Source organism: Homo sapiens, chromosome 12 (assembly GCF_000001405.40).
Source record: "Homo sapiens chromosome 12, GRCh38.p14 Primary Assembly".
Lineage (NCBI taxonomy): Eukaryota > Metazoa > Chordata > Mammalia > Primates > Hominidae > Homo > Homo sapiens.
The window spans coordinates 51,857,857-51,876,714 of NC_000012.12; the positions used below are offsets into that span (position 1 = coordinate 51,857,857).

Genomic DNA, 18,858 nt, shown 5'->3' on the forward strand with positions numbered 1-18,858 from the left:
CAATTAGCTGGGCGTGGTGGCAGGTGCCTGTAATCCCAGCTATTCAGGAGGCTGAGGCAGGAGAATTGCTTGAAGCCGGGAGGCAGAGGTTGCAGTGAGCCGAGATCCTGCCACTGCACTCCAGCCTGGGTAACAGAGCAAGACTCCATCTGAAAAAAAAAAAAAAAAAAAAAAAGAAAGAAAGAAAAAACACTAAAACTGCGGATTAAAGTGATGATGACTTCTTATCACTTAGAATTTTTATTTTACACTTACTGAAAAGGTTCTCTTAGACTTACTACCTTTGTACTTACGTAACAAGGAAAACATGGGTGAAATAAACTGGTTAAGGTTTTCCTAAAACTTCACCCCATTCAGAGTCTGATTCTTGGATCACTTTTCAATTCCCAGCTGTCAATATCTGTTTTTCCACACAGAATCAGCATCTGGGCCATCTTACAAGTACTGGTGATACAGAACATTTCTTAAAAGTGCTCTACCAGGCTGGGCGTGGTGGCTCACACCTGTAATCCCAGCACTTTGGGAGGCCAAGGTGGGCAGATTACTTGAGGTCAGGAGTTCAAGACCAACCTGGCCAACATGGTGAAACCCCGTCTCTATTAAAAATACAAAAAAATTAGCCTGGCATGGTGGCACACACCTGTAATCCCAGTTACTTGGGAGGCTGAGGCACAAGAGTTGCTTGAACCCAGGAAGCGGAGGTTGCAGTGAGCTGAGATTGCACCACTGCACTCCAGCCTGAGTGACAGAGTGAGACCCCGTCTCAAAAAAAAAAAAAAAAAGTGGGCCGGGCGCAGTGGCTCAAGCCTATAATCCCAGCACTTTGGGATGCCGAGGTGGGCAGATCATCTGAGGTCAGGAGTTCGAGACCAGCCTGGCCAACATGGTGAAACCCCGTCTCTACTAAAAGTACAAAAATTAGCCAGGCGTGGTGGTGGGCGCCTGTAGTCCCAGCTACTCAGGAGGCTGAGGCAGGAGAATCCCTGGAACCCAGGAGGTAGAGATTCTAGCGAGCCGAGATCGTGCCGCTGCACTGTAGCCTGGGCGACAGAGCGAGACTGTCCCCCCCCACCAAAAAAAGTGCTCTACCAAATTATCTATTGCTGCATAAAAGATTACCCCAAATCGGCTGGGCATGGTGGCTCATGCCTGTAATCCCAGCACTTTGGGAGGCCAAGGCGGGCAGATCACCTGAGGTTGGGAGTTCGAGACCACCCTGACCAACATGGAGAAACCCCGTCTCTACTAAAAATACAAAATTAGCCGGGTGTGGTGGCACATGCCTGTTATCCCAGCTGCTCAGGAGGCTGAGGCAGGAGAATTGCTTGAACCCAGGAGGCGGAGTTTGCGGTGAGCCGAGATCACGCCATTTCACTCCAGATTACCCCAAATCTTAGCAGCTTTAAGCAATCAACATTTTATATTATACTTTCTGTGGGTCAGGACTCTGGGTATGGCTTAACTGGGTGGTTCTGGCTCCTGGTCTCTTATGAGGCTGCACTCAAGCTGTCCTCTGGGGGCTGCAGGCATGTGGGACTGGAGAGCCCACTTTCAAGTTCACTCACATGGCTGTGCACAGACCTTGGTTCCTAGCTGGCTACTGGCTAGAGACCACCTCAGGGCCTCAACACATGGGCCTCCCTATAGGCCTCCTAACTGTCTTTATGACATGGCCCTGGCTTCCCACCCCCACAGCAAATGATCCAAGAGAAAGCACAAGTAAGCATTCAAGACAGAAGAGACAGTTTTTTTGTTTTTGTTTTTGTTTTTGAGATGGAGTCTTGCTCTGTCGCCCAACCTAGAGTACAATAGCTCAATCTCAGCTCACTGCAACCTCCGCCTCCCAGGTTCAAGCGATTCTCCCACCTCAGCCAACCGAGTAGCTGGGATTACAGGCACCCGCCATCATGCCCGTCTAATCCATCTAAATTTTGTATTTTTGGAGAGATGGGGTTTCACCCTGTTGGCCAGGCTGGTCTTGAACTCCTGACCTCAGGTGATCTGCCTGCCTCAGCCTCCCAAAGTGCTGGGATTACAGGCATGCCCCACCATGCCTGACTAATTTTGTATTTTTAGTAGAGATGGGGTTTCATCACGTTGGCTGGGCTGGTCTTGAATTCCTGACCTCAGGTGATCCACTCGCCTCAGCCTCCCAAAGTGCTGAGATTACAGGTGTGAGCCACCGTGCCCGGCAGCCATAGTCTTTTTATAACCTAATAGCAGAAGCGACATCACAGAATTTATTTAATTATTTTTTTCAGACAGGGTCTTACTCTGTTGCCCAGGCTGAAGTGCAGTGGCACAATCTCGGCTTACTGCAGGCTCGACCTCCTGGGCTCTGTGATTCTCCTTCCTCAGCTTCCTGAGTAGCTGGGACTACAGGTGTGTGCCACCATGCCTGGCTAATTTTTTTAGTTTTCTGTAGAGACGAGGTCTCCCTATGTTGCCCAGGCTGGTCTCAAATTCCATTTAAGAATGGACACATGGCATGATTTGGCCTATGAGACATAAGGGGATGTTTTGTGGGAAGCTTCTAAAAAGATTTCACAGAGGCTGAAAGAGAAACAGTTTTTCTTGGCCTCTGAATGTCATTGTCTGCCTGTGGTGTCTGAAACTGCAGCATCTACCTTGTGACTTTGAGGGAAGTCAGGATACAAGGACAAAAATCCAGAGGATAAGGATGGCAGAAAAAAGAGAAAGAAATGTGGTGGAATATTTTGAGTGGAAACCTATTCAGCAATAACAATGAGCCAGGCATGAGCTCGTGCCTGTAATCTAATGCTTTGAGAGGCTGAGGCAGGTGGATTGCTTGAGCCTAAGAGTTTGAGACTAGCCTGGGCAACATAGCGAGACCCTGTATCTAAAAAAAAAAAAAAAAAAAAAAAACCAGGGCCGGGTGCGGTGGCTCACGCCTGTAATCCCAGCGCTTTGGGAAGCCGAGGCAGGCAGATCACAAGGTCAGGAGATCGAGACCATCCTGGCTAACATGGTGAAACACCATCTCTACCAAAAATACAAAAAAATTAGCCGGGCTTGGTGGCAGGCGCCTGTAGTCCCAGCTACTCGAGAGGCTGAGGCAGGAGAATGGCGTGAACCCAGGAGGCGGAGCTTGCAGTGAGCCGAGATCGCTCCACTGCACTCCAGACTGGGTGACAGAGCGAGACTCCATCTCAAAAAAAAAAAACAAAAAACTACTGATACAATAAAATGCGTGAATCTCAATACCATTGTCTGAAGCCAAAGGGCCAGACACAGAAGAGTACATACAATATAATTCCATTCATAGGAAGACCTGGAATATGCAAAACTGATCTAGAGGTAAACATCAGATTACCTGTAGCAGGAGGTGGCCGGGGATGGGGGGACTGACTGCCTATGGACAGGAGGGGACTTGCTGCATGATGTCAATATTCCACATCTTGATTGGAATGGTGGTGACCAGGTAAACACTTGTCAAAATTCATCAAACTGTAGTTTTAAAATCTGTGCATCCTGGCCAGGTACAGTGGCTCATGCCCCATAATCCCAGCACTTTGGGATGCCGAGGCAGGCAGATCTCTTGAGTCCAGGAGTTCGAGACCAACCTGGACAACATGGTGACACCCCATCTCTACAAAAACCACAAAAATTAGCTAGACATGATGGTGCATGCCTGTAGTCCCAGCTACTCAGGAGGCTGAGGTGGCAGGATCACCTCAGCCCGAGGAGGTCAATTCTGCAGTAAGCTGTGATTGTGCTACTGCACTCCAGCCTAGGTGACAGAGGGAGACACTGTCTTAATAAACAAATAAACAATAAAATAAAATCTGTGCATCCTACTGCATATAAATTGTATTTCAATAAAGTTGACGAAAGAAGGAAAGAAAAAGAAAACCAAACAAACAAGAAACAAAGAAGTACAGAAGTAACCTAGGTCCTTGATAACACTGTTGAGCCACTGACTTCACCAACAGCCTTGGGACTTCTTGTTTTGTGACATTATAAATGCTGTATAAGCCATTTTTAAGTTGGGTCTCTCATAGCTGGAAGCCCAAAACACCTTTATGTCAAGGGGGAGGAGAGGCATCCAGAACCAGCCTGGGGAAGTGGGTTTTGAAGAGCAGCTGAGAAGGCAAGAGACTCTGAAGCGCGCTTGATCCGGTGGGGTCTGCTTGCTGCTCCACCATCAGGCCCAGTATAGCTGGGGATTTCTTCCCACAGTTCCCCAACCTTCCCCAGCCCATCTGTGAAATGGAGACCCTGGTAATCAAAGGACCTAGTCTTAGGCTTCTGGAGAGGGCTGATGCAGAGACAATGCCTGAAAGCTCTTAGCACAGAGCCTGGCGCAGACGGAGGTTCAATGTGGTGTACCTCCCCTGGCCCTGGCAAGGATGACCTGAGCCTGAACCAAGCAGGGGCAGGCAGAGAGGAGGGAACAGAACTTAGAAACCTTTGGGACTGTAAATGATCGATAACGCCAAGCACTCGGGCATGGGTGACAATGTGGATGGGATCATTTCTCAGGCTTTTGGCAAAGATTACATGCAGGATCTGTTTTCATCACCAGGTAGGTGCCGGTAAAAGGAGAGAAGAGATACAGTAGGAGAAACAGGTTTGGGGGGTGAAAAAGTGTAAGTTTGAGGTATCTGTGAGCAGTACGGCGTGGTGGACAAGAGCAAGCGTTCTGCCACCCACTAGCTATGTGATCTGGGTCAAACTACCACCTTTCTCGGAGCCTCAGTATCCTCATCTGTAAAATGGGAATTCTAAAAATACTTAGCTCATTGGGTTGCTATAAAGATTACATGAGGTCGGGCACAGTGGCTCATGCCTAAAATCCCAGCACTTTGGGAGGCTGAGGCTGGTGGATCACAAGTTCAGGAATTTGGGAGCAGCCTGACAAACATGGTGAAACCCTGTCTCTACTAAAAGTACAAAAATTAGCTGGGCGTGGTTGTGCACATTTTTAATCCCAGCTACTCAGGAGGCTAAGGAAGGAGAATCACTTGAACCCGGGAGGCAGAGGTTGCAGTGAGCTGAGATCAGCCACTGCACTCCAGCCTGGGCGACAGAGCGAGACTCCGTCTCAAAACAAAACAAAACAAAACAAAACAAAACTTTAGATGAAACATAACAAAAAGAAAAAAACAAGATTAGATGAAACAATATATTGGCAGTGCTTAGCATAGTGCCTGGCACATAGCAGGTACTCCTTAAACGGTGATAATAAGGTCATCATCCCTTCATCCCTTCACAGCCTGCGTCTTCGGGTTAGGCCTAGGAGGGCAGCCTCCTGCTGAGCCTCTGCACTAGAATACCAAACTCAGCGTGAGGCTCTTTGGGCTTTCAGCTTACTCTCTCTTGCCTCAAACAGGATGATCCCCTGTGGAAGATTTCTTCTCCTTTCCTTTTTCCTTGACCCCTTCCCTCCCTCCCTTCCAGTCTCTACTCTGCCCTGCCTCTAACAGGAAGCCTTCCTTGACTAATGTCTCTCCATTCTCTGCCAACCTCCCCACTGCCTCCGTGTAGGTTCTGGCCTTCCAGCCCAGAGCTCTATCCACCCTACTCCATTGCCCATGCCCCCAGTACAAACCGTGGGCTTTCTCCGTGCCAGCTCAAGGGAGGTCTGACCCCATGGGGACGCCTGACTGCAAAGGGAAGGATGCCGCCTTCCACCGCAGCACCACCACAGCTCCGTGGACCCGCTGGGAAAGGGGTGGGGCTGGCGAGGAGGAGGCCACCTGCCAGAGTGGCAGCAGACAGGCCAGCTAAATCCTTGACCTATGATTTAAGAGGTCGGGCATAGTTCAATAGAGCCCTCCAGGCTGAGTCCCAGCTCATTCACACAGGTCAGAGGGATGAGGGGCAAGGCGGAGAGGAGGGCCGTCTCCTCCGAGGGCCCTTGGCTTCCTCCCTAGCCTTCTGGGGCATAATCCAGCCTGAAAACCACAAAAACCCTGAAAACCACCAGCTCCATTCCCATCAGCGTAGATGCCCCCTCTGAGAGGCCGGGGGAGGAGGGCGGGGCCGGGAGGGGGTGGGCAGCAGGGCAGGAAAGTGGAGATTTAGGCAGGCACAGCGCCTGGCACACAGCAAGGGCGGGAAAGGCTCCTCCCTCTGCTAACCGCGGCGCCCTTTGTTAGGTCCCGAGACGCAGCGGAGCTGCCTGGCTTCCAGGTCGGCCCTGGTCTCTGCTCCCCTCCGTTGCCTTTGGAATTTGCCCTCAGACCTGGACCCTACCAGGGAACAGCGGGATTGTCTGATGGAATTCCACGTGCAAACCGAGAGAGGTTTTGCCATAAATTCTAGTCCGGCCCCGGGAGGAGGGCCACGCCTGGGCCCCACTCCCCATCACCCTCCCGCCTCCCAGACCCCCGGCACAGGGCCTCCCCAGGCCGTGCCCCGGGCTGCCCCTGGGAGCGCTATGCAAATGAGATGCAAAGTAGGCCGAGGCAGCCGCAAAGATTGGCTGCCGCAGAGGCTCAGTCCGCCCAATCCCCGGCCGCCCGCCATCCTGGGCGCCCCCGGCCCGGGGCCCGGTCCCGCCCGTAAATCAGCTCCGTCAGCGTTAATGGCTCCTGACTAATTGCCTGGACTTGGGCTCCGGGCTCGGGTCGCCAGCATTAAAATTCAATCAGGCCTAGCGCTATGCTATTAAATATTCATTGGGAGAGCTTCCCGAAATCGGGCTGGGGGATGGGGACGGACTGGGTTGGAGGGACTACCCGAATCCTCAGCTCCAGAGGAGGTGCCGCTCCTCCCCAGCGTGCTGTCAGCTTCTGCAGCGGCTGCCGGGCTTCCATTCGGCTGGGTCTGATTTCTCTCTGGAGGTCCCTGCGCCCTCTCTAGAGACTTTTGGGAGACTGAGCTGCCCTGCAGAAGGAATGTTAAGTTATGCCAAGGGGGCTGTGTCTGCTCAACGCCTGGTCACCTCGCCGCACGACCCTTTACCCAGTGCCCACCATGAGCTCCTATTCATGCTGGAACCTTAGGTCCCACCGGGAGTGGAAGAGCTCCAGGGCACAGAAGGCTTAATCTTTAGAAGAGCCCCTACTTCCCTGGCCCTACTGCCGGGTTTTTATGGAGCTACACTGGCCATCCTCAGCGTGGCTAGAGAGAGCATCAGTCTGGGCAGCTCCGGGTGTGTGCTGGAAGGGAGTAGTGGGCTTTGTACAGTCCTCCCCTCCTCTTCCCTGCCCTCAGGAATGCAGCCTGTCCGAGCTCCTGGGCCCCTGGCCTGATGCTGAGCAGGCTGCCTGGAAGTTCTCAAAGAGGGTACCAAGGGGGAGGGGGCTGGGCCTGAGGGGGCCCTTGGGAGTGTCAGGGACTTAAGCAGAAACTGCATCCTCCACCCACACACACACACAATAGTCAGAGGGTTATGAAGAGGGCTTAGCAGATGTGATGACAGCCATGGCTCAAGGACTGGGTGAGCCACTCAAATAAAGACCAAGAGTTTTTCTAGGCCCTCTATGATGTATTGACACATCTCTTCACGCGGCAGCTCTAGTCCTCAGACAAGGAGGTATTTGGGTCGGGAGGAAGAGAAAGTCTTGGGAAGTGTGCTAGGAGAGACTCATTTCCCTCCTCTGGATTTTCAAGGACTCCTCAGGAGCAAACCACCTGTTCACAGGGCTTGTCCCCTGCCCTTTGGACTGCTCCTTGCTCCTAGTGCCTGAGGATGGTGCAAGGAATTAACCCTGTGGGGCATGGGGGGAGGCTCCGACTGCCAGAGCCACAGAGCACCCGCAGACGCTGCAGGGGAGGGGTGGAGGCTGAGGGTACCGGTCTCTGCAAGGCCAGAAGCCATCAGGACTCCAAGAGGGTTGTAAATTCAGGGAATACTGTTTTGATGGACACTGGAAGGAACTTCTTGGTCGGCAATCTCTGAGAGCATCAACCCTTGGCCGTGCAGGAAGCCTGGAATTCCTGCCTGAGGACCCCTACTCCCCCAGGGTGTAGATGATGATCTTACAGCAAGTGGGGTCCAAGGAGCACCCTCTCTCCAGAAACCAGGCAGGCCCCAGGGCAGAATGCGTCTGGCAGCGATTAGGAGGAGAGCTGGGGCTGGGAGGCCTCAGACTTCAGCAGGTCAGGAGCGACCCCAGCCAAGTGTCCGATTCCAAAGCCAAACGTCACAGGCAATCCGGGATTCCAAACTCACCCCACGTGTGGTTCCCATTAGGGCTGGCTGGGGTCTTCCTGAAGGCCAGGCCAGATTCCTGAGCCCCTCCCCCAGGACAACCCCTCCCTCTGCAGGCAGTTTGGAATGTCTTACTAGCCCCATGGGGTGGCCTGCCAGCACCCACCCTTGGGAATTTCCAGGGGTATCCAACTCTAAATAGGCCTCTCCACCCACTAGATGATGATGTTTTGCAATCCCTCAGAGGGGACAAAGGGATAGGAGACTTTAAACCTTTAACTTCCCAGGGTGGGCCAATCCCTGAAGATCCCTACAGTGTGCCTGGGGAGTCTTCCCCATCTCCCGGTCAGCCACTTTTGTTCAGGCCTCAGCCCCTCTGGCCTGGACAACTGCAACTGCCCCCATTCACCTTCTGCTACCAGTCCATTCCTCCACACTGCCCCTGAGCGAGTGTCCTAAAACTCAGGCCTGTTATTCGGATTGTTTCCCTCCTTGCACAACTTCCAATAGCTTTCCAGCAACTCTGAAGCCATTGAAGACTGGTGGCCAGTGGGCCAAATCTAGTCCCATTATGTTTGTGTCCTGTGTAGTTAGGGCACTCACATAATTAAACTTTTTTAAAAATAGTTGTCAAGATTTAAAAGCCAGGAGGCAACACCAAAATCTACATTTATTAAAAAAAATTTTTTTTTGGCTGGGCATAGTGACTCACGCCTGTAATCAGAGCACTTTGGAAGGCGAGGTGGGCAGATCACTTGAGCCCAGGAATTAGAGACCAGCCTGAGCAACACGGCGAAACCGCGTCTTTACAAAAAAAAAAAAAAAAAAAGGAAACAACAACAAAAAAACATAGCCAGGTGTGGTGGTGTGTGCTTGTAGTCCCAGCTACTCAGGAGACTAAGGTGGGAGGATTGCTTGAGCCCAGCAGGCAGAGGCTGCAGTAAGCTGAGTGGCGTGGTGCCATTGTACTCCAACCTGGGTGACAGAGTGCAACCCTGTTTAAAAAAAAAAAAAAAAAATTTAAGGCGGAGTCTTGCTTTGTCCCTCAGGCTGGAGTGCAGTGGTGCAATCATAGCTCACTGCAGCCTTAATTCCTGGGCCCAAGTGATCCTCCCGCTTCAGCCTCCTGAGTAGCTGAGATTACAGGCTCCAGTCACTATTTTTAAATAGTGCACATCGCTCTATTTTTAAATTTTCTTGAAAACACTGGCAATATGTTTGCATTCTTGGATGGCAACAAGTGGCTGGGGCTGAGTAACAACTGTGGCCTTTACAAGGTATCCCTGGGGCTTACCTATGCACCATTGAGGGAATTCTGGAAACCTCACCAATCCCTATTGTCTCCCAGGTCTGAGGCCCAGATGAGTGAATGGCCTTTTTATCACTTAGGCTGGCCCTTGCCTTCTTATTTTACTTCTTGTCAGCTTCATGTGTTTGGCCATTTTTGTTCCTGTCTACCCCTTCCTGCAGATACTTCAATTTGTTATAACAAACTCAAGTCAAAATTCCTTGACCTGGTATTTGTGTCCCTTCAGACTCCCTTCACACATGGTTCCCCTCCATATCCCAGTCAACTCCTCCCCTCCAACACTCTTCCTGCAGGTACATCACACTTGCCATGCTTCCCCAGGCTGCAGCTGGACTTTCACACTCCCATCTTTGCACACACTGCTCCTTCTTCCTGGAGCACCACTTCTCTTCCTTCTCTGGTGAACTTTTAAACTTTTTTAGAGATGGAGTCTCAGTCTGTCACCCAGGCTGGAGTGCAGTGGCACAATCATAGCTCACTGCAGCTTCCAACTCCTGGGCTCAAGCAATCTTTCTGCCTCAGCCTCCAGAGTAGGTAGGACTACAGACACGTACCACCACAGCTGGCTAATATTTTAATTTTTTTTTTTCAGAGATGGTATCTCACTGTGTTGCCTGGGCTGGTCCAGAACTTCAGGCCTCAAATAATCCTCCCTGGGGCCGAGCCTCCGGCCCTGGTGAACTTTTATTTTATTCCTCCCTCCAACCCCAGCCCAGAAGCCACTGACTCTGGGGCATCCTCCTGACCCCTGCAGAAGTCAGTTACCCTCAGGTTGTCCAATGGTCCCTGTGATTCCAGAATTCTCACAATGTATCCCCTCCCTATAGTGACAGCCCCTCCAGGGTTTTGAGGAGGCCTGCTCTCGGCACCCCAAGGCTCACTGTGCTGAGGAGTCAGGCCATCGGACTGGTGGCAGTGACGGTTAGGGGAAGGAGGCGTAGTTCAGTCCTGCAGGAGCTGGCCTCTGAGACAAACACAGGTTTGTCGGAGTCAGCAAGGCTACAAGAGAGGGAGGCAGCGGGCACCTTCTGTGCCACAAGGTGAGGTTTTCTGGGTCCTGGGCAGCACGGCTGTCTGTGTCACCAGCGGACCGGGGTGAGTGGCTTCCTGTACCAGGGCAGTCAGGTGCTCTCTGCTACCCTGTGAGTATTCTAGTGAGCAGAAATCCAGAAGAAAAAAAGAGGAGCAAAACATCAGAACTCAGGGTGCTAGGCAAAAGTGTTCTTATGAGAAAAATGCGACAGATTATTTGAGACTCTGATAGCCTGGGGGTGATCCATAAACATTCCCGAACTCCTCCAATGCCCCCCAGCACTGTCATCAGACATCTTCACCCTCTGAAGCCCATGCTGCTGGAGACCCCAGGAAATGGCCTTGATACCAACCTCCCATCCCCAGCCCACACTCCCTCTTCCTGGCCTAACCATTCTCCCACCCGCAGGTGTTGCTTCCCAGACTGTGGAATCAAATCCTCTGGATGCACCCAAGAAGCAGGTACTGGGTCCCCATTTAACAGATGAGGACACGGCTCTGAGCGCTGCCCGAGGTTCCCCAGCCGACGATAACTCCAGCCCGCCGGGCCCGAAGAGCAGAGTCCTGCCTCCTCCCCACCGGCTTCAGCCTCGGGCCTCGGCTCTGCTCCTCCCTCCTACACACACCCCGGACGCGTCTGTCCAGGTCCGAAATCCAGATCCACACGTCCGTATCCCGAGGCGGGCGTGAACTATCCACCCGTGTGCACGCCAGCCGAGCGAGTGGCCGAGGGACACCCCCGTGCTTCCCAAGGCCTGGCTCCACGAGGAGCAGAACCCCAGCGGTGGGATTCTGTCGCGCAATGCTGTGTGGCTCCGACTAGGGCCCGCCCTCCAGCAAAGAGATGCTGGTGGGTGCTCTCGGTTCACCCCCGCACTCGCCCCAGGGGGGCTCGCGGGCCACCTGGAGCTCCCGCCCCTCGGTGGCCAGGGCTGCGCGTGAAAGGGGGACGTTCGGACGCGGGGGCGCGGAGCCAGCGCGCGAGCCTCGGAGCCTCCCCCAGGCTGTGGGGGAAGAGGAGGGAGGAGGGAGCAGATGGCAGCAATTACCGCTCGGACCCTCCCCCGCCGTAGCCTGGGGCCGGAAGATCGGCTCGGCAGCTCGCTCCTGCGGGAGGGGCGGCGGCCTCCCCGGCCGGGAACCGGCGGGGAGGGGGTCCGGGAGGGGCGGCTCTGGCCGCCGGGGCGCGGGCATCCCAGCTTCTAGGGGAGAGTGATGTGAGGGCCCGGTGGAGACACCTCCTTCTCCCGGGACGAGGGCTGAGAGATTCCCTTTGGAAAGGCCGAGTCTCCGGCCGCCCCCACCCCCAGAGTTGTTTCAGGCCAGGGCCGGCCGCAACCAGCTCCGGGCCTTTAGGTCCTCAAAGTTCCGAAGATTTTCAGGTCGAGCCAGTGGCCCAGGCTAGGGAGAGGGGAGCTGTACGGTTGTGCAGGTTGTGACCTATACAAGGTGGGAGGCGTGGTTGTGGGTGAGTGGGATTCCAAGCTCGGCCTTGGCAGGTGCTGACTCGTTCTGAAGGAGGGCAGGGGGCACCGTTTCTCACAAAGGTCTCGGATGAGCCAGCCTGGCCTGCCCTTGATTTAGGGCTGCTGAGGGTAGACACAGTGGGAGAGCAAATGGCTAGGGTTGGCCCCTGTGGGTCAGGGCCAGGGCTAAAGAGGACAGGGGGACTCTCCTGGCCCAGAGTAGAAACAACTGGATCATCTGGGCTCCCTGGGCCTTTCTTTCTTCTTGAATTCCTCTCCCACCCTCACCCTGAATCTTGTTCCTCTGTCTCTAACATAGTTCCTAAAACAGCCCCTGCCCCTGCCCCCACTCAACTGCCCAAGCTCCTGTTACTTCCCTGCACAATCGAAAAGACTCCTGTCCGCTCTCCCAGGGTCCCCAACAATCAGTTCACACTGCAGGCAAAGAGACCTTTAAAAATACAAATCAGGAAAACACCAGGGCATGTGATTCCTCGCTTAACAGCCACCCACAGCTTCCCTGCAAAGGAAGCCCAAACCTTTTCCCCCAGCCCCTACCTACACAGACAGACCTCTCTTCCTATCCTTCTCCCCACTGCCCAGACACTGCTTACACTGGCTGCCTTTCTGTTCATTGAACTTGATAAGCTTTCCCCCACCTCTGGCCTTGGCTTTGCTGGTGCTTTTCCTGGATCGCTCTGCCCAGATCCTTCCCAGGAACGTCACCTTCCCATCATCCCTGACCACAATAATAAAGCAGCCCCATCTGCCTGATCCAGTCTGTCACTTAACCTTATATATTTCTTCCACTGAACTCACCACATTCTGTAATTATCTTTCTTATTCACTTGGTTTGTGGTCTGTTTCACTTACCAGAATGTCAGCTTCATGAACGCGGGGACCTTGTCTTTCTTGTTCTCTAGCACAATGCCTGGTGCAAACCAAGAAGCACTCAGTACATGCTCCATACATTCCAGGAAAGGAGTCCCTGGGACCAAACTGGATGCTAGTTCATCTGGTCACCTCCGAGAGGGCTTCTCTCTGGGTGGGGCCAGCTACAAACACCTGTACTCACCTGGTACCCACCTAGATGCTTTGCACACATGGGCAGACCCATGGCTTACTATAACAATAATCTTGGCTGACAGCTAATCAGCTGACTGTGCCAGACATCATTCTAAGTCCTTTACATAGTTTAGTTTAATTTAACTCATTCCATCCTCCTGTGAAGTAGACACTAATAGCCTCAGTTTACAAGTAGATATACCACACACACAGATCCACACCACAACACACAGGCAGCATAAGCATTGAATTCATTATTACTATCCAACAGATAGATGAGTGGGGTAAAGAAATCAGGGTGAGCCTGGGACATTTAATAACTACTGTGGGAAGATGGGAAGAACACCAGGGAAAGCTCAGCATGGGGGTCAGGCACAGGGCCAGCTGGGCAAGTGGTAGAAGAGGAAGTTGAGCCTCAGCCCACGCCCATATTCTGAGTCCCCACAGCACTTGGAGTGGTGCGGAGGGTGGTTCCTGGTTCAGTTCTGCTACCCACCAGAGGGGTGATCTTGCCCACCAGAGGGCAACCGTTTACCCTCTTGAGACCACATTAGCAAAATGGTGGGGGAGGCGTACATAATACCTGTCTCCCAGGGACCCCACCAGGATCAAACTCCAAAATGCTCATGAAAGCCGTGTAGGGCTTGCTGATGAAAGGGTGCAGGTTGCCAGCCGGGAAAACTGGGGCTGGAGCTATGCTTTGGCTCTTCTGGAACCATAGCTCACTGCTGTATGACCCTCCAGAGTGGGGGGCTGGTGGAGGGGCTGGGTCTCACCAACCATTGCCCCCTCTGTACCTGGCCTGGTGCTCATCTAGAACTCCATAGGTATTTGTGGAGTGAATGCCTGCGTGAGGGAAGGACCAGGGCATAGGTAAGAGGAGGAGAATGAATACATGAGTGAGAGGCAGAGTGAATGAAGCAGGGACTGGAGACGCCCTCTGCCTCTGAGCCTCAGTTTCTTCATCTGTGAAAGCCAGTGGTGGGGCTTGGCCCACTTCTGTCTCTGGGCTCCAGTGTGAATCAGACAAGATGGGGCCACTCCATGGAAGCCCCTCCTTGCTATCTATGCAGGGCCCCCAGGGTGGACGGGGGGAGCTGAAGTGACCAGTGTTCCCCTCCCCCCATCCCTGTCCCCCGGAATTTATAGATTCCTCATTGTCCTGCACAAAGGCCTTCTTGAGGAGGGGGCGGGGTGATGGAGGAGACGGGAGAATTAGAAAGGCGGAAGCTGAGCAACAGCCAGCCACACCCAAGGCCCCATAAATCTGCCCAGGCCCCTGTAAGATGGACTCGCTTTGCCGCACTTGAAGCGGCTTGCAGGGCTCCTGCTGCTGGGATCAGCTCACCTTCCTCACAGCTCTGGATCCTCAGCAAGATGGGGGGTGGAGCTGCGGGGGGCATGAAGACAAGACCTGGTGGTCAGGGAGGGGTGACTCACCTTGCGTTATACCTCTGACCTCAGAAAGTCCTTAATCTTGTTCCTGTGCTGCCCCCTGTAATTCTAGTCCACAGCTGTTGGTTCTGAGCTGAAAAATGAGCTTTTTGTGGGTACTCTGAGTCTTTTTGTGGGAGTGGGCCTGAAGGCTCAGACTCTAAGAAAATGGCCTCCTCCCCCACGCTGGCCTCTGGGTAGTGGGTGGGAGGCTGAGGGTGGAATTGACAGATGGTGCGGTGTTTAACAGATGACGGGAAACAAAATTACTCAGCTGCCGTGTCTCTCCATCTTCCCCATGGAAGGAGATGGCCTTCGGACTGGAAACAGACAATGACCTCAATCAGGAGGCTGTCAGAGGACAGGGAAAGAGAGAAGCGACGGGGTATTAGGGGTATTAGGGCACCATGAACAGGTGTACAAAAGACCTGACTCAGAATCCCATCCCTGCCACACACCAGCTGGGTGATCTTCAGCAGATCTCACAGAGTCTCTGTTTTCTCATCTGTAAGATGGGTCAATGAAAAACCCTGCCTTATCTTCCTCACTGGCTTTTATGAAGATTATATGGATTCTGTGTTTGAAAGATGGGCTTTAAAGACTTGCGAAGGTGTAAAGATGTAAGAGGTTATCTACTGGAAACTCTAAGTGCCGGCCCACTAGTTGTTGACGGAATCATTTTAAAAACTTTTTTTTTCCTTACAACAAAACAGAATAGAGTAGAAAACATAACAGTGCTTTACAGTTTCAGGAAACGCTGCTTGTAGTTACATGTGCATTCATGTGTCCTGGGTCCAGAAGTAAATGTATTTACTGTGGATGACGGTCAAAAAAGTGAAATACTCAGAGTAGAGAATATTCTTCAGTGATATCTCCAGAAGGGAATGGTGGATGAATGGAAACTGACAACATGAAATATATCAGGCTAAACATAAATGTAAAAATTTTTGTAAACAAAAATGTACACTGGCTCTGAGCAGCTCAGTGTAACTGCGGTTGGTGGTGATGGGTGGAAGGGCTTACGTAGGACTTAACTGACTGCCCTTTTGGTGGGCAATGAAGCTCTCTCTGCTGTGTAAGACACCTTGAGCCTGATTCCTGAGAATGCTGTCCCTGAACGCCCACTAGGCAATGACCGTGGCTCCCTCACCGTGGCCCTGAGCTGTGCCAGAGGGAATGGGTTATTTAGCGAGAACCTTGAACTCATGTGCCCAGGCCTCCCCTCCAGTCCACTAGGAGTGCAGAAGGATTTGCAACAGGTATGCTGTAGTGGTGGTCAGGACACCCCTGCCTGAACTTCACCCATGACCCTTGTCCTCACCCCCACCCAAGGGGTCATAGTCCAGTGAGGGTGAGCTGGTCAGAGTGGACCCTAAATCAATCCCAGACCTTCCTGGCTGGCTCTGAGTTACAAGCTGTGGGCTTTGTGATGCAGATCATGATTCGGGAGTAGGGGGCATGACCTATGGCAGGTCACACAGGACCCCTAGAAAGGGCCAGAGCTGGGGTCAGAGGCCACCTCCTCCATTCTCTGCCCTGCTCTGCTGGGTCCCATCCTGCATCTACCTAGTCCTTCAGCTGGGCTGGGCCATTTCCCCACTGACTGCCGGCTCCAGCTGTAACTGCCACCAAGCCTGGAGGCTGGGAGGAGAGGGGCTTCTGCTGGAAAAAGATCCCAGAAGAAAAGAAAGGGATGAGATGACACAGTATTTTGTTCCCAAACCAGACTCAAAAGTTTCCTGAGTTCCTTCTCTGTAGATTTGCCCCTGCACCGCCCCCCCGCCCCCCGCCCCACCACCTTCTCTTCTGATTGAATTCCGCAAGTCAAGACTCTGGGCAAAAATCCAGCCCAAAGGATTAGATGGCTGGAGATTACGCACGGCAGTCAGAGAGCAAGTTAGGGAGCAAGCAGTGTATGTTATCAGGGCTTAAGAGAGAGCATCAGAGGGAGAGAGAGATGGAAAGAGCCAGATGGCGAGATGAGAAAGATCAAGCTGAAGAAAAGGGGATGACAGGCAGACAGAAAGAGGAGTACCAGCAGAAGACACTGAAGAGAGTGATTGAGAAATAGGAGCGGCAGGCAAAGGAACATCCTTGTGAACTCCTGTCAGACCCCAGCGGCTGAGAGGTCCAAAGGAGGTTAATCCATAAAGGGCCTTTGCTTTTAATCCTTAAGACCACCAGCCTGAGACTGCAGAAGGCCCTGGCTGAAGTGTACCTGTGTCATCCAGGAGCTATCCATTATTTTACACATTAACCAACAACTCCATGCCCCACTACCACAATCATTTCTATCAACAAAGGCATACACAGAGAGGGTCAAGACCAGGCCTGGGGAACTTGGCAGGGGCTGGGAAGGGATCCCTATTGAGTCCTCTTGAGGAGGGAGGCCTGGACAGGGCACTTCAAGACAGGGCATCAATGCAGGTAGAAGGTAGAAGAATCCTCACACTTGGCCATGTGCTGTGGCTCACACCTGTAATCACAGCACTTTGGGAGGCTGAGATGGGCGGATCACCCGAGGTCAGGAGTTCAAGACCAGCCTAGCCAACATGGTAAAACCGCGTCTCTACTAAAAATACAAAAATTAGCCAGGTTTGGTGGCACATGCCTATAGTCCCAGCTGCTCGGGAGGCTGAGACAGAAAAGAATCGCTTGAACCTTGGAGGCAGAGGTTGCCGTGAGCCAAGATGGCGTCACTGCACTCCAGCCTGGGCTACAAGAATGAAACTCTGTCTCAAAAAAAAGAAAAAAAAAATACAAAAGTAAGCCGGGTGTGGTGGCTCACATCTGTAATCCCGGGTACTCAGGTGGCTGAGGCAGGAAAATTGCTTGAACCTGGGAGGCAGAGGTTGCAGTGAGCCGAGATCGCGCCACTGCACTGCAGCCTGGGCAACGGAGCAAGACTCCTGAAAAAAAAAAATCCTCACACTTGGGGTACCCATCCAGGTTGGCTAAAGCTGATATACAGAAATAACTACAGAAATAACTCCCTTTCCTTTGAGCCAGAAACGGAACCCCACAACCCTCCTGTGCATCTGCCCTGCCAAGACCCAGACACTGCACCTGACCCTAGAACCCTCAGCTATAGCCTCAAGCCCTGTGGGGTGGGGATGCTCTTCCAATTCCTGCCCAGACCTGCCACCTGCTGGCTGACAGTGGCCTCGCAGTAACAAGACCCTTGCTGAGGCTGGGGTGATTGGTGCTAGAAGTAGCTTCTCTGGGCTTGGGGAAAAGAGGATTTGAAAAGCAAAATGTGAAATCCCCATTCACCTACCTACGTGTTCTTATGGTCTCTCTGCACAGGTTAAAAAGACTCTGTCCCTAGGCCAGGCACGGTGGCTCACCCTTGTAATACCAGCACTTTGGGAGCCCGAGGCAGGCGGATCACGAGGTCAGGAGTTCAAGACCAGCCTGGCCAGCATGGTGAAACCCCGTCTCTACTAAAAATACAAAAATTAGCTGGGCATATTTGCACGCCTGTAGTCCCAGCTACTCAGGAGACTGAGGCAGGAGAATCACTTGAACCCGGGAGGTGGAGGTTGCAGTGAACCAAGATCGGGCCACTGTATTCTAGCCTGGGCAACAGAGTGAGACTCCCTCTCAAAACAAACAAACAAACAAAAATAAGACTTCTTGTCCCTGACCATCACTCCTGCATGATGCTGGGGGTGATCTTCAGGCCAGAGGAGAATCTGGAGGGGAACTCACATTTACTGAATGGCCGACAAGGTACTAGATGCGGGAGACACAGAGATAACCAAAGTCCTGGGATTATAGGTGTGAGCCACGGCACCTGGCCAAGAATGAGATTAATGATAACTAGTGTGAAAAACACAAGCACTGAACTGTGTGCCTGACTCAGAGTAGTTTTCAATTAATAGTGATTGAATGAATGAATTAGAGCTACCACCAAGGGATGACGAACTCTGTGTGCAGAGGAAAAGAAGGAAACAGACAGGGAAATATTTCTGATTCTTTTATATATTTTTTTCTATCATTACCAAGTAGTAATTATCTAGGTGGAAGATTCAAACATTATACAAGTTTGAAAAACAAACCCGCTGGGCGCAGTGGCTCACGCCTGTAATCCCAACACTTTGGTAGGCCGAGGCGGGCGGATCACGAGGTCAGGAGATCGAGACCATCCTGGCTAACATGGTGAAACCCCATCTCTACTAAAAATACAAAAAATTAGACGGGCGTGGTGGCAGGCACCTGTAGTCCCAGCTACTCGGGAGGCTGAGGCAGGAGAATTGCGTGAACCCGGGAGGCGGAGCTTGCAGTGAGTGGAGATCGCGCCACTGCACTCCAGCCTGGGCAACAGAGCGAGACTCCATCTCAAAACAAACAAACAAACAAACAAAAAACCTTTTTCTTCACCCTTCTCTTATTCCTCCTCTTTAAGTTAACCATGTTTTAAAGAGCAT

General features: G+C 52.4%; 3 annotated features.

The window, feature by feature from the left end:
• Positions 5,148-5,668: an enhancer, noted in NCBI's record as "H3K27ac-H3K4me1 hESC enhancer chr12:52256788-52257308 (GRCh37/hg19 assembly coordinates)". NCBI's record gives its function as "activates a minimal SCP1, AML or CMV promoter by ChIP-STARR-seq in naive H9 embryonic stem cells {active_cell/tissue: H9 hESC(naive)}" and the evidence as "EXISTENCE:reporter gene assay evidence [ECO:0000049][PMID:30033119]".
• Positions 11,187-11,820: an enhancer, noted in NCBI's record as "H3K27ac-H3K4me1 hESC enhancer chr12:52262827-52263460 (GRCh37/hg19 assembly coordinates)". NCBI's record gives its function as "activates a minimal SCP1, AML or CMV promoter by ChIP-STARR-seq in naive H9 embryonic stem cells {active_cell/tissue: H9 hESC(naive)}" and the evidence as "EXISTENCE:reporter gene assay evidence [ECO:0000049][PMID:30033119]".
• Positions 11,821-12,452: an enhancer, noted in NCBI's record as "H3K4me1 hESC enhancer chr12:52263461-52264092 (GRCh37/hg19 assembly coordinates)". NCBI's record gives its function as "activates a minimal SCP1, AML or CMV promoter by ChIP-STARR-seq in naive H9 embryonic stem cells {active_cell/tissue: H9 hESC(naive)}" and the evidence as "EXISTENCE:reporter gene assay evidence [ECO:0000049][PMID:30033119]".